This window comes from Homo sapiens, chromosome 5 (genome assembly GCF_000001405.40).
Source record: "Homo sapiens chromosome 5, GRCh38.p14 Primary Assembly".
Classification (NCBI taxonomy): domain Eukaryota; kingdom Metazoa; phylum Chordata; class Mammalia; order Primates; family Hominidae; genus Homo; species Homo sapiens.
Genome location: NC_000005.10, coordinates 15,188,195 through 15,204,826, shown reverse-complemented (window position 1 = coordinate 15,204,826; position 16,632 = coordinate 15,188,195). Strand labels below are relative to the sequence as shown.

At 39.1% G+C, this 16,632-nt stretch overlaps 1 long non-coding RNA gene across 1 annotated transcript in view; it reads left to right on the top strand.

The window, feature by feature from the left end:
* Positions 1-13,181, top strand: part of LINC02149 (long intergenic non-protein coding RNA 2149) — a 74,915-nt gene extending 61,734 nt beyond the window's left edge. The window contains exon 3 of the long non-coding RNA NR_109944.1: positions 12,378-13,181. This is a non-coding gene — a long non-coding RNA (long intergenic non-protein coding RNA 2149). The remainder of the gene's footprint in view (positions 1-12,377) is intronic.
* The last annotated feature ends 3,451 nt before the right edge of the window (positions 13,182-16,632 follow it).

Here is a 16,632-nt window from a genome sequence, read left to right as displayed (position 1 = left end):
ATAAACAAAAGAGGTTTAATTGACTCATAGTTCTACATGGTTGGGGAGGCCCTGGAAACTTACAATCATGGTGGAAGGCTAAGAGGAGGCAAGGCATGTCTTAAGTGGGGACAGGAGAGAGAGAGAAAGTGCAGCAGAAACTGCCACTTATAAAACCATCAGATCTTGTGAGAACCCACTCACTGTCATGAGAACAGCATGGGGGAAATCACTCCCATGATCCAATCACCTCCCACTAAGTCCCTCCCTTGACACATGGGGATTACAATTTGAGATGAGATTTGGGTGGGGACACAGAGCCAAACCATATCAGATAGTGATGGGACATTTTAGGTCCATGAATAGTGGGAGTAGTGCCTGGTTTCCACAAGGAAACCTTCAGAACCTTAAATGGGAAAAGCCACAAAGTACTTTTTCCTTGACAATGATTCTTATGCTGGTGCTTGACACAGAACATCAGAGTTACTTGTCTTCAAGGAGCCCCGTAAGCTTGGAAGTTGAGCACGGCAAAGTGAACTCAAGGCCAGCAGACCCATCTCTAAATGTTCTGTTCTGGGACTCAGGCGTGGTCTGAAAAAGGAGACCCATAAAACAGAACCAAGAGAGAATTTTCCATCACCTGAGCGAGTAGGATTGGGGAGTAGATTTAAATTATATTAAAAAATTGTTTACCATAAAATTGCTTTCACCTGAAGTCATGGAATAAAGTTTCATGCATACTACAAAAAAAACAATGAAAATAAGGCATTCAGTAGTACCAGGCGTATATAAATGCCCACTCCATGGGCATGATAGTAGCAGAGACATAGAAATGCCCACTCCATGTCAGCAATTATTATCATTTTTTATTATTTATGTTTCATTCATGACACATCTTTAACCAATACCATGCGAGCCGCACATATTCCCCAGTGTGGCACCTCTACTCCAGGCAATATGGTACATCTATTCCAGGTAGGCTGTTCCTTTGTAGCTCCCATGGCTATTTACTTACTACCATCTTTGTCCTTATTGGTTTCACTATCTGCATTCCCAGTGCTAGGCCTTTCTCTCTCTGACATTCTGTTTGTATCCATTCTTTATAGACACATTCAAAGTAAACTTCCCCCAAGAAAACTTTCTTGAATAACCCTTGAAGTTCTCCATTGTCCCTAGGGTTTATTTATAGAACACATGGCATCAGCAGATGCTGACCATGCCCACTCATGTCCCTTCACTCCTCACCATTTCTACAGGAAGCTGTGACTCTGCCTGAAGGATTTCTGTGGTCAATGGAACATGCCCAGCTCATGTGTAGAGCAGGAGGAAGTGCTCCTGCTCCAGAATTCCCCAGAAACAAAGCAACCCTCAAGCAATGACATCTGAAAGTTGAAGGACAGATACTTCAGCTTTGTCAGTATGTTGTATGGGACAACTCAGTCCCTACATAGTCTAAAGGGTCCGGCATGATTCATCTCCTACACCAATAAATAACCTGCTAATAACGCACTCGAATTGGCATCCTTCCTTTCCCTCCCTCGCATTCCCACATCCCTAAAGGTACTTTCTGGTAGACACTTCCTATCATCTCCCCACGCACCTTCTCCACCCAAATTCTTGTTTATAGGTCTGCTCGTTGGGGACAGAACGGAAACAACATCACCTCCCACTTTCTTACATGCTGCCTTAAAAATAATTATTTCCCTTCCTTAATTATTATCTTCCCAACAAGATTATAAACTCCCCTGGTGCAGAGCATACTGCTTGTCTGTGAACTATTTGTTGGTCTGTGAGCCATTTGTCACTGCAATGAGATAAGTACAGAAATCAAGAGAAAGTGTTTAGAAATTCTTAGAGCAATTTTCCATTGCCAGAACATCCAAGCATGTGATCAGTGGGCTTACCCAGTGAACAGGCAGTGACCAGTTAGATAGTGTGGAAATGCATGTGATGAGTCCCATGGTGCAGGCTGTCTTCTAGTCACATTCAGGATAACCATGTAGCAAACATGAAAAGGTAAGAAGCTTGTGCTGAAGATCCACATAATGCTGGTAACAGGCAAGCCATTAAAATGGATAAAAGCACTTACAGTTTGTAATATAAATAGGAAGAAAGACATGTCTGTCTCTTTTTACCCTGTTTAGGAATACTTCGCCTACTCTAAAGTCAAAATTATATTCTGCTATGTTTTCTCCTAGACAATTTTTGTTTTACTTTGTGACTAACTTTAATTAATTTTATATATTACATGAGGCAGGAATTGAAGCTTATTATTTTATAATAAGTAACATTTTTCTGGTGACCACGGAAGCAACTATACTGTGAAAACCCCCAACCCAAAGGCTAACTTTGGGTGAGTGGTGGGGTCCGGTAACATCTTTCTCACAAACCACAAAGGGACAATACTAAGACCCCTCTGACCCAAAGGAAATAGACTGCAGCACTGATTGGATGACTTTGGGTAAGTGGTAGAGTACCCAAGTAAAGAATGAGATTGGGTTAGAGACCCAACTTAGGGGAGTTAAAGTCTCTCCTACAACAGAGTGGGTTAGAGGCCCCTCTTAATAAAAGGCAAGGACGCTTGACCGATCTTGGGTTAGAGGCCCAACTTAGGAGGGTTAGAGTCCCTTCTAAGATTTAGGGGGTTAGAGGCCGCTCTCGCTAAAGTCCCTCTGGGCTAAGAACAAGTTTGGCATTATGGGATGTTAACTGCTATTCTTTTTGGAATAATCTGTCTTGTACTCTTTGCTGATGGCTGTGGGTGACAGGGTTAGGCATGTACAGGATCATGGGACATGGGGAGCTTTTTCCTCCCTAAAAGGGGAAACATGAGAGCTGATGGGACTGCTGGGAAAAAATCCCTTCACAACAGTAGCCACAGCTGCCTGAAATTTTCAGTGTCACCGCAGTGGGTGGGTCTTTCTCTGGCCTCCCTAGGCATTTCACCTTCCCCACCCTGCCACAGACAATGCTTTTCTCTCTCTCTTTTCCCTTTCTTTTCCCTTACTCAGGGCAACCACCTTGCCCAGAGACCACGTGTTGAAACTCCAAGTCGGAGGTTGGATTAAAGATGAAGAGGCCCATCTGGGGGCAAATTTAAGCCTTGCCAGTTTGATATTGGGTGCTAAGCAGAGTAGCTACTGTCTATGTTTTATCACATGTATTTTGCTCTGGCCAGAATGAAAAAATAATAATATTCCTTATAGTGCAGCTTGGCCCCCAGGGAGGTGGTGCCACAAGCCCGCAAGCCCGCAAGCCGGATCACTAGGGCTGCTCAGGGAAAGGGAACCCAGAAGCCTGGCATGCTGGCAAAGGGTAAGAATTTCTTACCAGTCAGATTTCTGGCTTCTCTCTCTCCATGCAAACAGTTGAATGAATGGAAAAAAAAAAAAAAGATCAGTATGTATCTCCTCTGTAAAGTTTTAATTAATGTGAAAAAGAATTCTAAGGCTAGCCTTAAACTGGTGTATTTTGTGCAATGAATTCGTTTTTCCATGTCGAGGGGTACTTCAGGATAAAACACGGGCTTAGAACACCTGTAAGCCCACTTTTCAAGACAACCCAGCAAACTGGTCAGTAACAAACTTGGCTGCAGGTCCCTGAAACAAACAGAAAAAACAGATGAAGTCTCCACGATGTTTTATGCCCTTGGGAGCTTGACCTTTTAACCACGTGGCAGTAATTTCTTTTGGTCTCCGCCTTCAGGGAACAAGAATTTTAGGGTTCATGTCATAGTTAGCTCTAAAAATTATATTAAATAGAAGCTTTTGCAAGCTCGAAATTAGCTACTCTGACTCATTCTGGAAAAAGAAATGGAGACTGCCCGTTGCTATAACCCACTAGCTAAGGTTTTGCACTTTCACAGTGGTGGTCCAAGTTCGATTCCTCACCTAGGGAGTAAGTAGTTTCTGGTTTAATATCTTTGTGACCTTGTCTAGTCTCTTCTTCGTGGACTGTCTTAAATTTTCCTTTCTCTAAGCACCTAGGAGGTGACCTTTGGTGAAGTTCAAAAGCCAGAAACCCAGAAACATTGGCCATTTGGCATACTAAATTCTAAAAGGACTTTATTAAAGAGTGCTATGGTTAAAATCAGCTTAATTAAAAGTGGATAAACAAGCTATAGATACATTTTAAAGGCCTTTATGTTTTTCTCTTCTTGGAACTTGTTTTTCTGGAAAAATGTTTTTTCTTCTCAGTCAGCTGAATTATTTTTCTCCATCTTTTTTTGTCTTGCCACTCTTAATGCACAAATGAGAGGCCCTAAGGTAACTTCTGGTAGCCTGGGAGTCCTTGGGAAAAACAGAGGAGGTGCCACAGACCCCGTTTTGGGAAAAAAAAAAAAAAACACTTCTGTTTTCTTTGTGAAACTCCAGGAATTAAAAGCAGATAGATCCCTCTCCAGATTAAAGGCTCTGTTTTGTTTTGCATTGTGTTATCTGATGGTTTTGAGTTTGGGTGGGGGTATCAGAAATTACTTCACATTATGAGAGAGCTTTGGTGTGTAATGACTGGGTAGGAAATATACTTTAAGGCATGGCTAATAGTAGTTATGAAGGGATACTTGACTCTTTGCACACTTAGATCAGAGAAGCATGCTCTTGGCCACCTGGAAGATAAGGAAACATTCCCACCCCCCGCTGGGAGACGAGACTCTCATGAGGGATGGGCTGATACAAAATAGGCTGATTGGCTTTGGGTTGCCTTGCAATGAAATGCAGAGTAGAAGCACTGCACTGTCTTCTCCTGCATTATTTCCCTCCTTTTGGAGATTCAGGAGCCAGTATAAAATGACATCCTTATTTTGGGGGTCTGTCTTTGCCTTCAGCTGCTTATTTGCTGCTAATTTAGCCCTAGAAACACATGCTTTCCTGGCCCTGTTTTTCCAAGGGCTCCACCCTGAAGCCCATAATCTAATTAAGAAACTGGCAAATGAAAAATCTTACAAGTGCTGACTCTTCTGACTATGTATGTATGTGTGTTGTATGTTTATATATAAAAGAGCTCTCATTAATTGGCTTAGAAAAATAAGCACTTAAACCAAATATTTTGTCAGAACAATAGAAACCTTAATGCTTTTTGTTCACATAACTTTAGTAATCTTTTGGAAACAAAGACAGTTTTAATGATTATCGGTAAAATAAAATGTCTTGAAAATGTAGACATTTGGTCTAAATTAAGGTCAGATATCAGATTTGTTAAATGCTTTAAGGTCAAACTGTTTCTTTGACTTTTGAAAATTGTTCAATTTACCTACCTTAAAGCCATTAGATTCTAGATGAGGCCTGGGGACATGTGTGGTTAGCCATGCCCCCTAGCTATTCTGGAGAGTCAGCTGTTATCTGCACTTCTGCTTGGTGTGTCCTAGGCTAGGCTCCACACCTAGTACATAATTAAAATCTCAAACTTACTAAGGTTTCCACCAAAAATAAAAGTTTCTAAGAGTTAACATTATAACATGTAATTAAAACTACTAAAGAAACAATTTTGCATGCAAGTTGTGTAAAGAAAGTAAAATGTGTTTTGGTGAAAGATTGTAAGAAGTCATGGGAATGTGGACCTTTTTTCTGCCTAGATTAAGGTGTTAAAGGATTGTTTTAAGTAAGAAAATAATCTAAAGATTTAAACAAGTTGTGGAAGGTTCATAAAAATTAATTGTAAGAGATTCTGTGTGTGAACATATTGGCTAAAGTTAAAGGGGGTATTATTCAGTTTTTCCATAAATTAAACATTGGAATCAAAGCACAACAGGTTTTTCTGATCTGCTCTTTCCAAAAAAAAAAAAAAAATGTAAAGGGCTATAAAGGTTTGTAAGACTCTTACCTTATGGTTACACATTAAAATTGGGTAAATATGTCTATAAGGTTTTATTAAACATTGACTTTAACATTAATAGGACATTAATGTAAAAGTTAAATTTGGCTTATTTGGTATAAAAATCACACAGGAAGCATTAACAAATGTGAAATGGTATTTTGTTTTCTTGGAACTATATTTGCATAAATGTGTTATTGGTATATGTTCCAAAGTTATGGGAAACTCCTATAATTCTAATATGAATTAGTGTATGTTATTAATAATTATAATTATATAAAATTTTCTGTGCCACAGAAGTTACATTTCCTTATCAATTGTGGCTTTAATAGTGACTGTCCTAAAACATTTTGTCATCCACAGACAATTGTTGTCTTGTTTTAATCCTCTTTAGAAGGTGGTTTATAATCAACTATAGAACTCTAGCAGGTATTCTTAAATGCAGGTTTCTAATTGAAAATTGTAACACTAGAATAGAGGAAGCAACTTTCAGAACTCTCATGAAGAGCTGGAATGTTCATGAATATCAAATAGAACATGAGTTAACTGAATTAACTGAACCAATAGAAAACTGAAGTAATCTTTTTAACTTTGTTTAAAACGTTGCTGATCCTTTATTTTGTTTCTCAGAGTCAAGGAAACTTTTTTTCTTTTTTGAGCTATTTACAGCTTTCAGCAATTGAGTAAAGTATACTCCTGTGAACAAAATTTAGAGCATATTTGTTTCTCTCTACCTGATTTCTCTGGAATTTGGAAACTAGTTGTGAGTATCCTTAACTTATGGCAATATAGTTATTTGCATAGGTGCAATAAGAATCTGTTTTCTTTTGTAACAGGACACAATTTGGAGAAATTGGTTATTTTACCAAGGCTTTCACTGGAATGGTGTGTTTTCCTTTAAGGAATCAAACTTGACTTGTAGAGCCAATAAGAGACCCTTGGGGAACTGGCCTTATACCTTGCCTACACAGTCCCCATATGGGGTTTCTGACCTGTAGTAAGTAAAGAATATCACTTCCTATCAGGTCCAGGAGCCCAGAGTTATCTTGGGACCTCAAACGGAGAGAAATTTACCCAACTCATAGGTATTTGAAGGTAAAAACCCATGGCAGGACTAAGGTTTAAAAAAGTCTTATCTGAGATTCCTTATGAAACAGAGTTCCTTCAAAGCCAATTAAAAAGCCTATGTGAAAAATAATTATTCTTGCTGCACTTTATACAAATAATTAGGCCAAATATAATAAAGCAAGTCAGTGTTACCATGATTTGTCTTTAGTAAAAATGGGAAACAGGAGACAGAAATATTATGTTTCAAGAACTGTGGTACACTTGTTATTAAATTCTAGTCTCATTAGCTGTTTTTAGGTTTGTTTCTGCAATTTAGGGTAACCCTGCTTATTCCTGTGAACCAGTGATCTCTGACTGCTGCTCAGAAGAAACAAGAGGGATGGGCAATGTAAAAATCTGGATCAGTATTCTAATTCCGGGCACATTACAATCAGTTAACAACCCCATATAAGCTTAGTTCCAACAGTTGCCCAGTTCATAAAAAGCCTTCTAATTTAGTTTACTTGGAATAACTTTACTTATTTTGCTTTACTTTTGTGGAATACATTGCTGTTTTACTCTTTGTGTAGGAATACCAGAAAAAGCTTACTGAATGTTTTCTTAAACTAAACACTTATTAATCTTCCAGATATCATCTCTTGTCAAAACTCAAGAATCACAAAAGGCCCTCCCCATACTGATGCTTTCTGAATGAGCTCCTCTCTACCCTGAATGCAAGAGACCCTAATAAGTAGGCAGGAATATCATCACCCCTATTCAGCCTGAAGAAGTTACAGAAGATGGATCTTTGTTCCTCTGCAACCCTTAGGATTAAGGATTCTCTTATAAAAGAAAGGGGGGAAATATCAGAGGTGTGTGAACCAAAGTAACTCCATCTTAAATAGGAGCTGGGTAAAATGAGGCTGAAACCTGGGCTACACTCTCAGACAGTTAAAGCATTCCAAGTCACAGGATAAAATAGGAAGTCAGCACAAAATACAGGTCATAAAGACCTTGCTGATAAAACAGGTTGCAGTAAAGGAGCCGGCCCCAAAACCCACCAAAACCAAAATGGCAACGAGAGTGACCTCTGGTCTTCCTCACCACTAAACTCCACCAGCGCCATGACAGTTAACAAATGCCATGGCAACATCAGGAAGTTATCCTATATGGTCTAAAAAGGGGAGGCATGAATAATCCACCCCTTGTTCAGCATATCATCAAGAAATAAATATAAAAATAGGCAACCAGCAGCCCTCGGGGCTGCTCTGTCTATGGAGTAGCCATTCTTTTATTCCTTTAATTTCTTAATAAACTTGCTTTCACTTTGCAAAAAGAAAAATAATAATAAGATAAAGGCATATGTGAGAACTCCAACGTAGTTATGACACAAGAATTCTATGTAATAGAATAAGAGTCATTCATCAACAGACTCAAAGTTAAGCTATCCTAAAATCCCAGAGGGTTCATGACAATAATGTAGTAAAATTGCTAACTGCTAACTGATATCCAATTTTCCTTTTTTTCCTCAATGACAGAACTCCTATGTGGGGGGTTGGGTTGCAATGTGCCCAGCTCTCAAAACTATACTTCTTAATTTTATTTGGAAATAGGCATAGCTAAGGAGACATATAAGGGAAACATTGGGTGGCGTTCTTAAGCAAGCTCCTTTAATAGAGGCCATGTTTTCATGTGGGAGACTCCTCTTGCCTTTCTCCTCTTCCTCCAGTCTGGAATACAAATGTAATGGTTAGCACTCCAGCAGCCTCCTTGTGAATATCAGCATACAGCTGATACTTTCGGAATGGCAGAGCAGTGAACTGGAAGGACCTTGAGCCCTGATGAACTACAATAATATACCAAGATTTATTGCATAACAAACCACTCCTAAAACTTAGATTAAAACAAACTCACTTGTTTAGCTCCACTTCTGCATTTTGACAGTTTGGGCTGGTCTAAACTAGATTATTTTTTCCAGCCTGGGATAGTGTTGATTGATCTTGGCTGCATTCACTCATAGGTCTTTAGTTAACTAGTAGGTCAGCTGGAGTTAGCAAGTTTTTGATGGCCTCAGTTGAGATAGCTAGGACAATAGAAGCCTCTCTGCTTATGGTCTCTCTCCAGCAAGCGGGAGAGTCCCGAGAGAAGAGGTATGCAAAGCCTTTGAGGCTCACACTTGAGACTTGCTTATTGTCACTTCTGTCACACACTATTGGTCACAAGGCCACTCTGGAATTGTAGGGTGAAGAAATAGACCTCTGATATGGTTTGGCTGTGTCCCCACCCAAATCTCATCTTGAATTGTAGCTCCCACAATTCCCATAAGTTGTGGGAGGCAGCCAGTGGGAGATAATTGAATCACGGGGGCAGTTTCACCCATACTCTTCTCATGGTAGTGAATAAGTCTCACCAAATCTGATGATTTTATAAGGGGTTTCCCTTTAACTTGGCTCTCATTCTCTCTTTGCCTGCCTCCATGTAAGACATAACCTTCCTCCTCCTTCACCTTCTGCCGTGATTGTGAGGCCTCCACAGCCATGTGGAACTGTGAGTCAATTAAACCTCTTTCCTTTATAAATTACCCAGTCTTGGGTATGTCTTTATTAGCAGAGTGAGAATGGACTAATACAACCTCTCCTTTTATGGGGAATGTTGTAACAAGTTGTGACCAATTTTGCAATCTACCACACACACCAATCTTGAACTGACTAAAATCTGTGCTTCTCACTACTTAGAAAATAAACCCCTTGTCTGGTTTATGATTTTCTTTGTACTTTACCAGCAGAGTTAGCATAATTCCTACCTGACACAAATACTGTAAGAAGCAGTCAGACACTTGCTCTTTTTTAAAAGACAGAATGGTAGCCTCTTGACCTATGAAATTAGCCTGCTCTGCCTTGAAGAAATGTTTTATTCCAGGCTGAAAATAGATTTACATGCAGAAGTATACACACAGGGAAGGCAAGACAAGAAATGCTAAGTTATCACTTGATGTGCTGCAATTCCAAGAAAGAAACAAAGACTAATCTTGTATGCACACCCCACCACCACTTACAAAACCACCACCACCACCACCACAGGTGATATTTAGTAGGGAAAAAAAATGATTTCTTCTGTGGAATAGATTGTCTTTGTGTTGTATCCCTCCGAGTCCAGGCAAGGGAGTAATGGGACAATCACGTAAGGGCAATTTGAAGAGAATTTAATAAAAGAACTAATTTAAAAGACCCGGGCAGCAGGGAGGGAAACAACAATGGTTCATGCTATACTTTGGGCCCTGGGACTTGAAAGAAACAGGTTTCATGTATTAGTCCATTCTTACATTGCTATGAAGAAATACCCAAGACTGGGTAATTTATAAAGGAAAGAGGTTTAATTGACTCAGTTCCGCATGGCTGGGGAGGCCTCAGGAAACTTACAATTATGGCAGAAGGCACCTCTTCACAGGGCAGCAGGAGAGAGAATGAGTGCTAAATGAAGGGTAAAGCCCTTATAAAACCATCAGATCTCATGAGAACTAATTCACTATAATGAGAATAGTATGGGGGAAACCACCCCCATGATTCAATTATGTCCACCTGGTCCTGCCTTTGACATGTGGGGATTATTACAATTCCAGGTGAGATTTGGGTGAGGACACAGAGCCAAACCATATCTCTTCTCTATCAGCTTTAGGCCTGAAGAGATGAAGGGAGCTGGCAGCTCCCAGAACCCAAAGGTAGGTAGAAGTCTGGGTGGAGAGGACCTTCCTCTAGGAGATGCAACCAACCCATAGTGACCCTGCAGGCAAGTTTCTGGGCAAATCAGTGCCCTAATCACCCTCTTGTCTCTCTCCCATCACATGCTGGTGCTCCCTGATAGCCAACGCAATAGAAGTCAGAGGGCAGAGAAGCTGATTGGTATGGTCTATACAGGTCAGTGTCTGAGGGCAAGAACAGGATGGAGATGCAGAGAGAGAGTCTGGAAAAACAATCAGAAGACATTCAGGGGGTGAAAAAATAGACATCAACTCTTAACGAAGTAGCTGCAAAAAAGTGTAGCCATTTTTGCAAACAACCAGTGGGTCTCATATTGAAATAACTACTATTTCCTATGTTCTTGTTAACGTTTTGTTATTACTTGTATTAGTCTGCTAGGGCTGCCACAACAAAATACCACAGACTGGATGACTCAAACAAAATGTATCGTTGCACAGTTCTGGAGGCGGAAAAGTCCCCAGTCAAGGTGTCAGCAGAGTTGGCTTCCAAGGCCTCTCTCCCTGTCTTGCAGATGGCTGCCTTCTCGCTGTGTCCGCACATGGTCTTTCCTCTGTGGCCACACCCCTGGTGTCTCTTTCCCTTCTTATAAGGACACCACTGCTGTTGGATTAGAGTCTCACCCTAATGACCTCGTTTAACTTCACCAGCTTAAAGGGCCTATCCCCAAATACAGTCACATTGGGGTGAGAGCTTCAACCTATAAATGTTGGAGGACACCATTGAGTCCATAACATTACTCTATGTCCTCAATTTCTGGTTCAATCTGAGCAAAAGGGTTCCTCTCTGAAGCTTTTAAACTGTAAGCCCTCCCAAACTGCTGTAGCTAGTAAATACAATTCTGAGAAGATAAGAAGAGACTGTTTATGAAGGAGCAAGAAGGGTATGAAATTCCAAATAGTAAATTCATTTCAAACATCCTGTCAAAGTTTAAACCCAAAAATCTTTTAAGAATAAAATTCTGCTTGGCATTTGGTACCAGGAAAATTTCCTCACTAGGATGTCTTGGATGTTGCCTTAGAACTGTGTGGGCTTGAATGATTTAACGTTATCTCCTTTGGAATGGGACCACTACACACACACACACACGTGCACAAACACACACACACACACACACACACACACACACCCCATCTCAAAGCATTGCATGAAAGTTAAATGCTGTTTTCAAACTAGCATCTGTAACTCTAAAAGTATAGAAAATCAGAACCAACCCAAATGTCCAACAATGATAGACTGGATTAAGAAAATGTGGCACATATACACCATGGAATACTATGCAGCCATAAAAAATGATGAGTTCATGTCCTTTGTAGGGACATGGATGAAATTGGAAATCATCATTCTCAGTAAACTATCGCAAGAACAAAAAACCAAACACCGCATATTCTCACTCATAGGTGGGAATTGAACAATGAGATCACATGGACACAGGAAGGGGAACGTCACACTCTGGGGACTGTTGTGGGGTGGGGGGAAGGGGGAGGGATAGCTTTGGGAGATATACCTAATGCTAGATGACGAGTTAGTGGGTGCAGTGCACCAGCACGGCACATGTATACATAAGTAACTAACCTGAACAATGTGCACATGTACCCTAAAACTTAAAGTATAATAATAAAAGAAAAAAAAAGTATAGAAAATCAGAGTTTTTTGTTTAATACAAGAGCCCCAAATTCTATCTCTTCTTCCTGTGGATAAAGGAAAATATGATAAATGGAAGACAATGTTAGCTTACTTATCTTAAAATATTTAGTATAAAAGATTTTGTATCTTCCCTTGCAGATGTGTGACATGGATAAAAAGCTCCCCATAGTGGAAAGAGGTGCCATAAAACACTAGACAATGAGAGCAAGATGGGGGACCCAAAATGGTGCCCTGGCATCGGCAAGTGGTGAAACCAGCCATCTGGCCCTGTGCCCTGTCCTCAGAAGTGCCCCTGCCGCCCCAGCAGGTACATTTGCAGGTGAAGAATTTCTTTCGCTTTAGTGTCCTGGGAACCAAGTATTTTCTGTTGGTGGTGTTTCTCTTGCACCAGATGAATTTTTGCCTCGCTTACCTGAGACTTAGACTGTCCCAATTCCAGTCTCCACTGATGCAAACTAGGTTGGTTCACAACAGGCTGCCATAAAATTTCTCATTTTTTTCTGTTTGAAATGTGTAACTTTTGATTTACTTCCTAAGTAAGACTTCCTGAGTTGGGAGCTCTAAAAACTTTCATTAAAAAACAGTGGATTTGTCAAACTTTTGAGCAAAGTATTGGTGGCACTTCTAAATCTTTGAATTTAATTTCTTCTTTTAGGGGACTCTTAGAAAGGGAAAATATGATCTTACTACATTGACCATGCAAATTCTGAGGTTCATATTGAATCTAAAGTCATTGGAAATATAAATCTCAATAAAATCCCTAATACTAAATACTCATATATATGTATATATTGCCCATAGACATGTAGTATGTATTCATGTATCATATATGTATAGGTATATATATGTTCATATGTCATATATTAAATATGTATGAATTTATAAGATAAAGGTGGAAATTATTGACATGTTATAACTAAATAAAGAAAATCTTTAACAACCTAAAAGATGCCAATATAAACTCTCAGAATTTCTGGAAAAGTTAAATTTTCATTAACCCTATCTCCTCTCATAGCAAAACTGTGGTGATCTTAATGGATCTTACAGATAAGGAATTTGCTCCAAAGAAGGTTGTTATTTAAACTTACAAATTGGTATAAATATATTCATTACATTAGTAATCAAAGTACCCAATGCAAAAATGATTTTCTACTTGGAAACCGTGCCTTCCAAATGGAAAAATTAAAGAAGTCAATTGAAGGATAAAATACTTATTTAAAAAGTAAATATTGCAAAGGCATGAAGTTGCCAAATATACTAACTGTAGTTTTGATGAGCTGGAAATCTTCAGCAAATAAATGTTTGGGTTTCTCCCCACATAAAATATTAATGGCTAGATTGTTGAGACTTTTGTTATTACCTAGGGCCCTCCAGTGGCAGGACACTTGTGTGTTGCCTAATGTTGGTTTACGATTATTTTAAGCATTATTGAAGTGTATCAAGGATCACGTTCACTCCTTCCATTAATTCATTCATTTAAAAGATATTTGTTGCACACCAACTACATAAAAGTTCCTTGAGTTTCAGCACTGTAAAAAAAAACAATGATCCTTGCCCTTTTGGAGCTTATAATCAAGACACAATTTAAAAAACTCAAAATATATAATTAAATGATATAATACATTAGATGGTAATAAGAATTATGGAAAAGAGAAAAAGGAATGCAGCATTGGCGGCCTCTGGAGTGTGAAAGGGGTGGAGATATGCTACAATTTTAAATAAAGAACGATTACAAGGTGACAAGCAAAAACTTGAAGGAGTTAAGACAGTCCTGTGGATGTCTGTGAGATAAGCATTTATGGAGTTTGTCAAAGAAAGATGTCACTTGAACCCCACTGCCAGAGACCTTATCAAAATCCACCAATCTATAGCACAACTGCCCTCAATTGTCAAGGCCGTCCACTCTGAGTCCAGGCTCCCTACTGTGGAATGACATCATCCACGGCCATTTAACAAGATCTTAGCTTTCAGATCCAATAGATAATAATCCACTGTTGTGCCAGTTTTCAGAAACTCCTTACAGACCCCAAACTACACAAACCTAGCTGAAATACCTTGAACTTCACCTAGAGTTTGTAGACCGTCAACTCTAAGCCCAAGTTCAAGAGCTATCCATCAACATCCTAGACTATTCTAAGGCGACTTTTGCCACTCAGGTGATACAGAAAATAATTTCCAAAGGATCAGTCCTCCACCTGGCTTATGTTAATGAGAAAACTGTATATCTTTGTTTTGTTTGCATCTAGATTTGAATTTGTCTTAGGCTGATCATTGTTCTCTTAAAGCAATTTTCAGTTGGCCAGGCATAGTGACTCACGCCTGGAATCTCAGCATTTTCGGAGGCCCAGGCGGGTGGATCACATGATGTCAAAAGTTTGAGACCAGCCTGGCCAACATGATGAAACCTCATCTCTACTAAAAATGCAAAAATTAGCCAGGTGTGGTTAGGGGCGCCTGTAATTCCAGCTACTTGAGAGGCTGAGGCACGAGAATCTCTTGATTCTCCACCAGGAGGTGGAGGTTGCAGTGAGCCAAGATTGTGCCATTGCACTCCAGCCTGGGCAACAGAGCAAAAACTCCGACTCAAAGAAAAAAAAAGTGATTTTCAGTTTTAGCCACCTTTAAAGAAATTCAAGAAACAACAAATTTGGAAACAGAATGAATGTACCAATAATCCATTCTCTAAAGGAGCTGATCTAATCACTTTTCTTAATGGATAATCCAACACTACTCCTGGCCTGCCACATCACCCATTGCTATCCTTTGTCACAGGGCCCTTGCTAGTTGTCTTTCATCCATTAAAGAAAGTTGATTGTTCACAATGTGTGGAGCTGTGAGCAAATGCCCCAGCAGAAGAAAAACAATCCTCCATTCCTCCTCATCTCTCTGGAGTGGTCCAAAGTCTCAACTGCAGGGTGAAGAAGATCCACTGTCATGGACTTATTAAAAATGATTCCTGCTGAAAATTAGGGGCTCATATTTTTTCTGCTGCCACATTTTGTCCATTAGAGCTCAAGAACCTAAGAATGACATAGTCCTTCATTCCTTATCTCATGATACAGAGTGATATATAGGTTTCTACATGCTAATCTTCTTTCATGTGCCAACCAATGCTGAAGGGATACTATTTCACCTGAATTGAAATGAATAAAAATTAAGCATCAAGGGGTAAAAATCTCCCTGGTAGTTCTGCAATATTGCAATAACCTTACCTAATGCACTATTATTTTCCCACACCACTGTGGGAAACACACAGAGGTATCCATCCTTCAATAAGCAACGCCCTAGATTGTTATGTTTTGCCAATGATGATACGGGTATCTTAGAAACTAATTGTGTCTTGGGTTGTACTTAAAAAGTGACATTTGCAAGGTGTTCAGGAAAAAGAAAAATGTAGCTGTACAAAAGAAGTTTTGATAGCTATGGTACCTGCTGTTAAACCAAGAGACATACGTTACTTAAGGTACTGTGCTAATACTGAGAATAAAAAACTTGTTGGATATAAGAGCAATGTGGATAAGTGATATTAAACTTATACCTATTAAAAATTGCAGATACCTCTCATAAGATGGTAAACAAAATATGAATGTGTATTTAGAAAAAAAAGATGTAAAAATCATAAAGCGTGTATTTCAGAACCAACTTTGAAATAACATCATACCAAAAAAGGCATCAAAAGGGATAACTATGTAAAAACATGAAATCTTACTGTTTTCTTAAAGACATTAATTCCTAAATTCTTTTAAGTGGTAAGTTCCTTTAACCCTGTATTTCCAATTCCATTTTTAATCAAATGAAATCTTATATATAGCCATGAATATGCAAGACTTCATAGTTAGCCATACTAGTATAGAGAATTCTAAAAATATGAGGTGGTGTTTAAATAGGTATAAGAAAGGGACAGAACTCCAAAAAGTAACAACATTAAGAAGAAATTTGTTAGATAAAGTTGAAGGCTGGAAATATTCACAAGCATTAAATTCTTTTCAGAGTTTGACAACCAAGCAAGCATTCTTTTCAGGTTGTCTAAAAAATTCCCCTTGAATTCAGATGGATTTCAAAGGTTCAGTGTTATTTCCCATGGAATATAAAAATATTACACGCTAATCGACTGTCATTAAAATTGGCATCTGTGACTCCAAGAAGTTTTGATTGGCAGAAAAGCCCAGACACATTTCATCTCTTCTTTATTTGGCCAAAGGAAAAGTTAACAAATGAATGACCCTGGAAAGTAATGTGTAGAGGATTTGTATCACCAATTCCAAACCTGAATCACTCTTCATGCAGTAACAAGGCTGGCTAATACTCCATATTTATGCTTCAGATAAGGCAACAGCTAGACTTTTGTGGTCTTACCTTTAAAATGAACTTCTTCATCACACTTCATATTCCT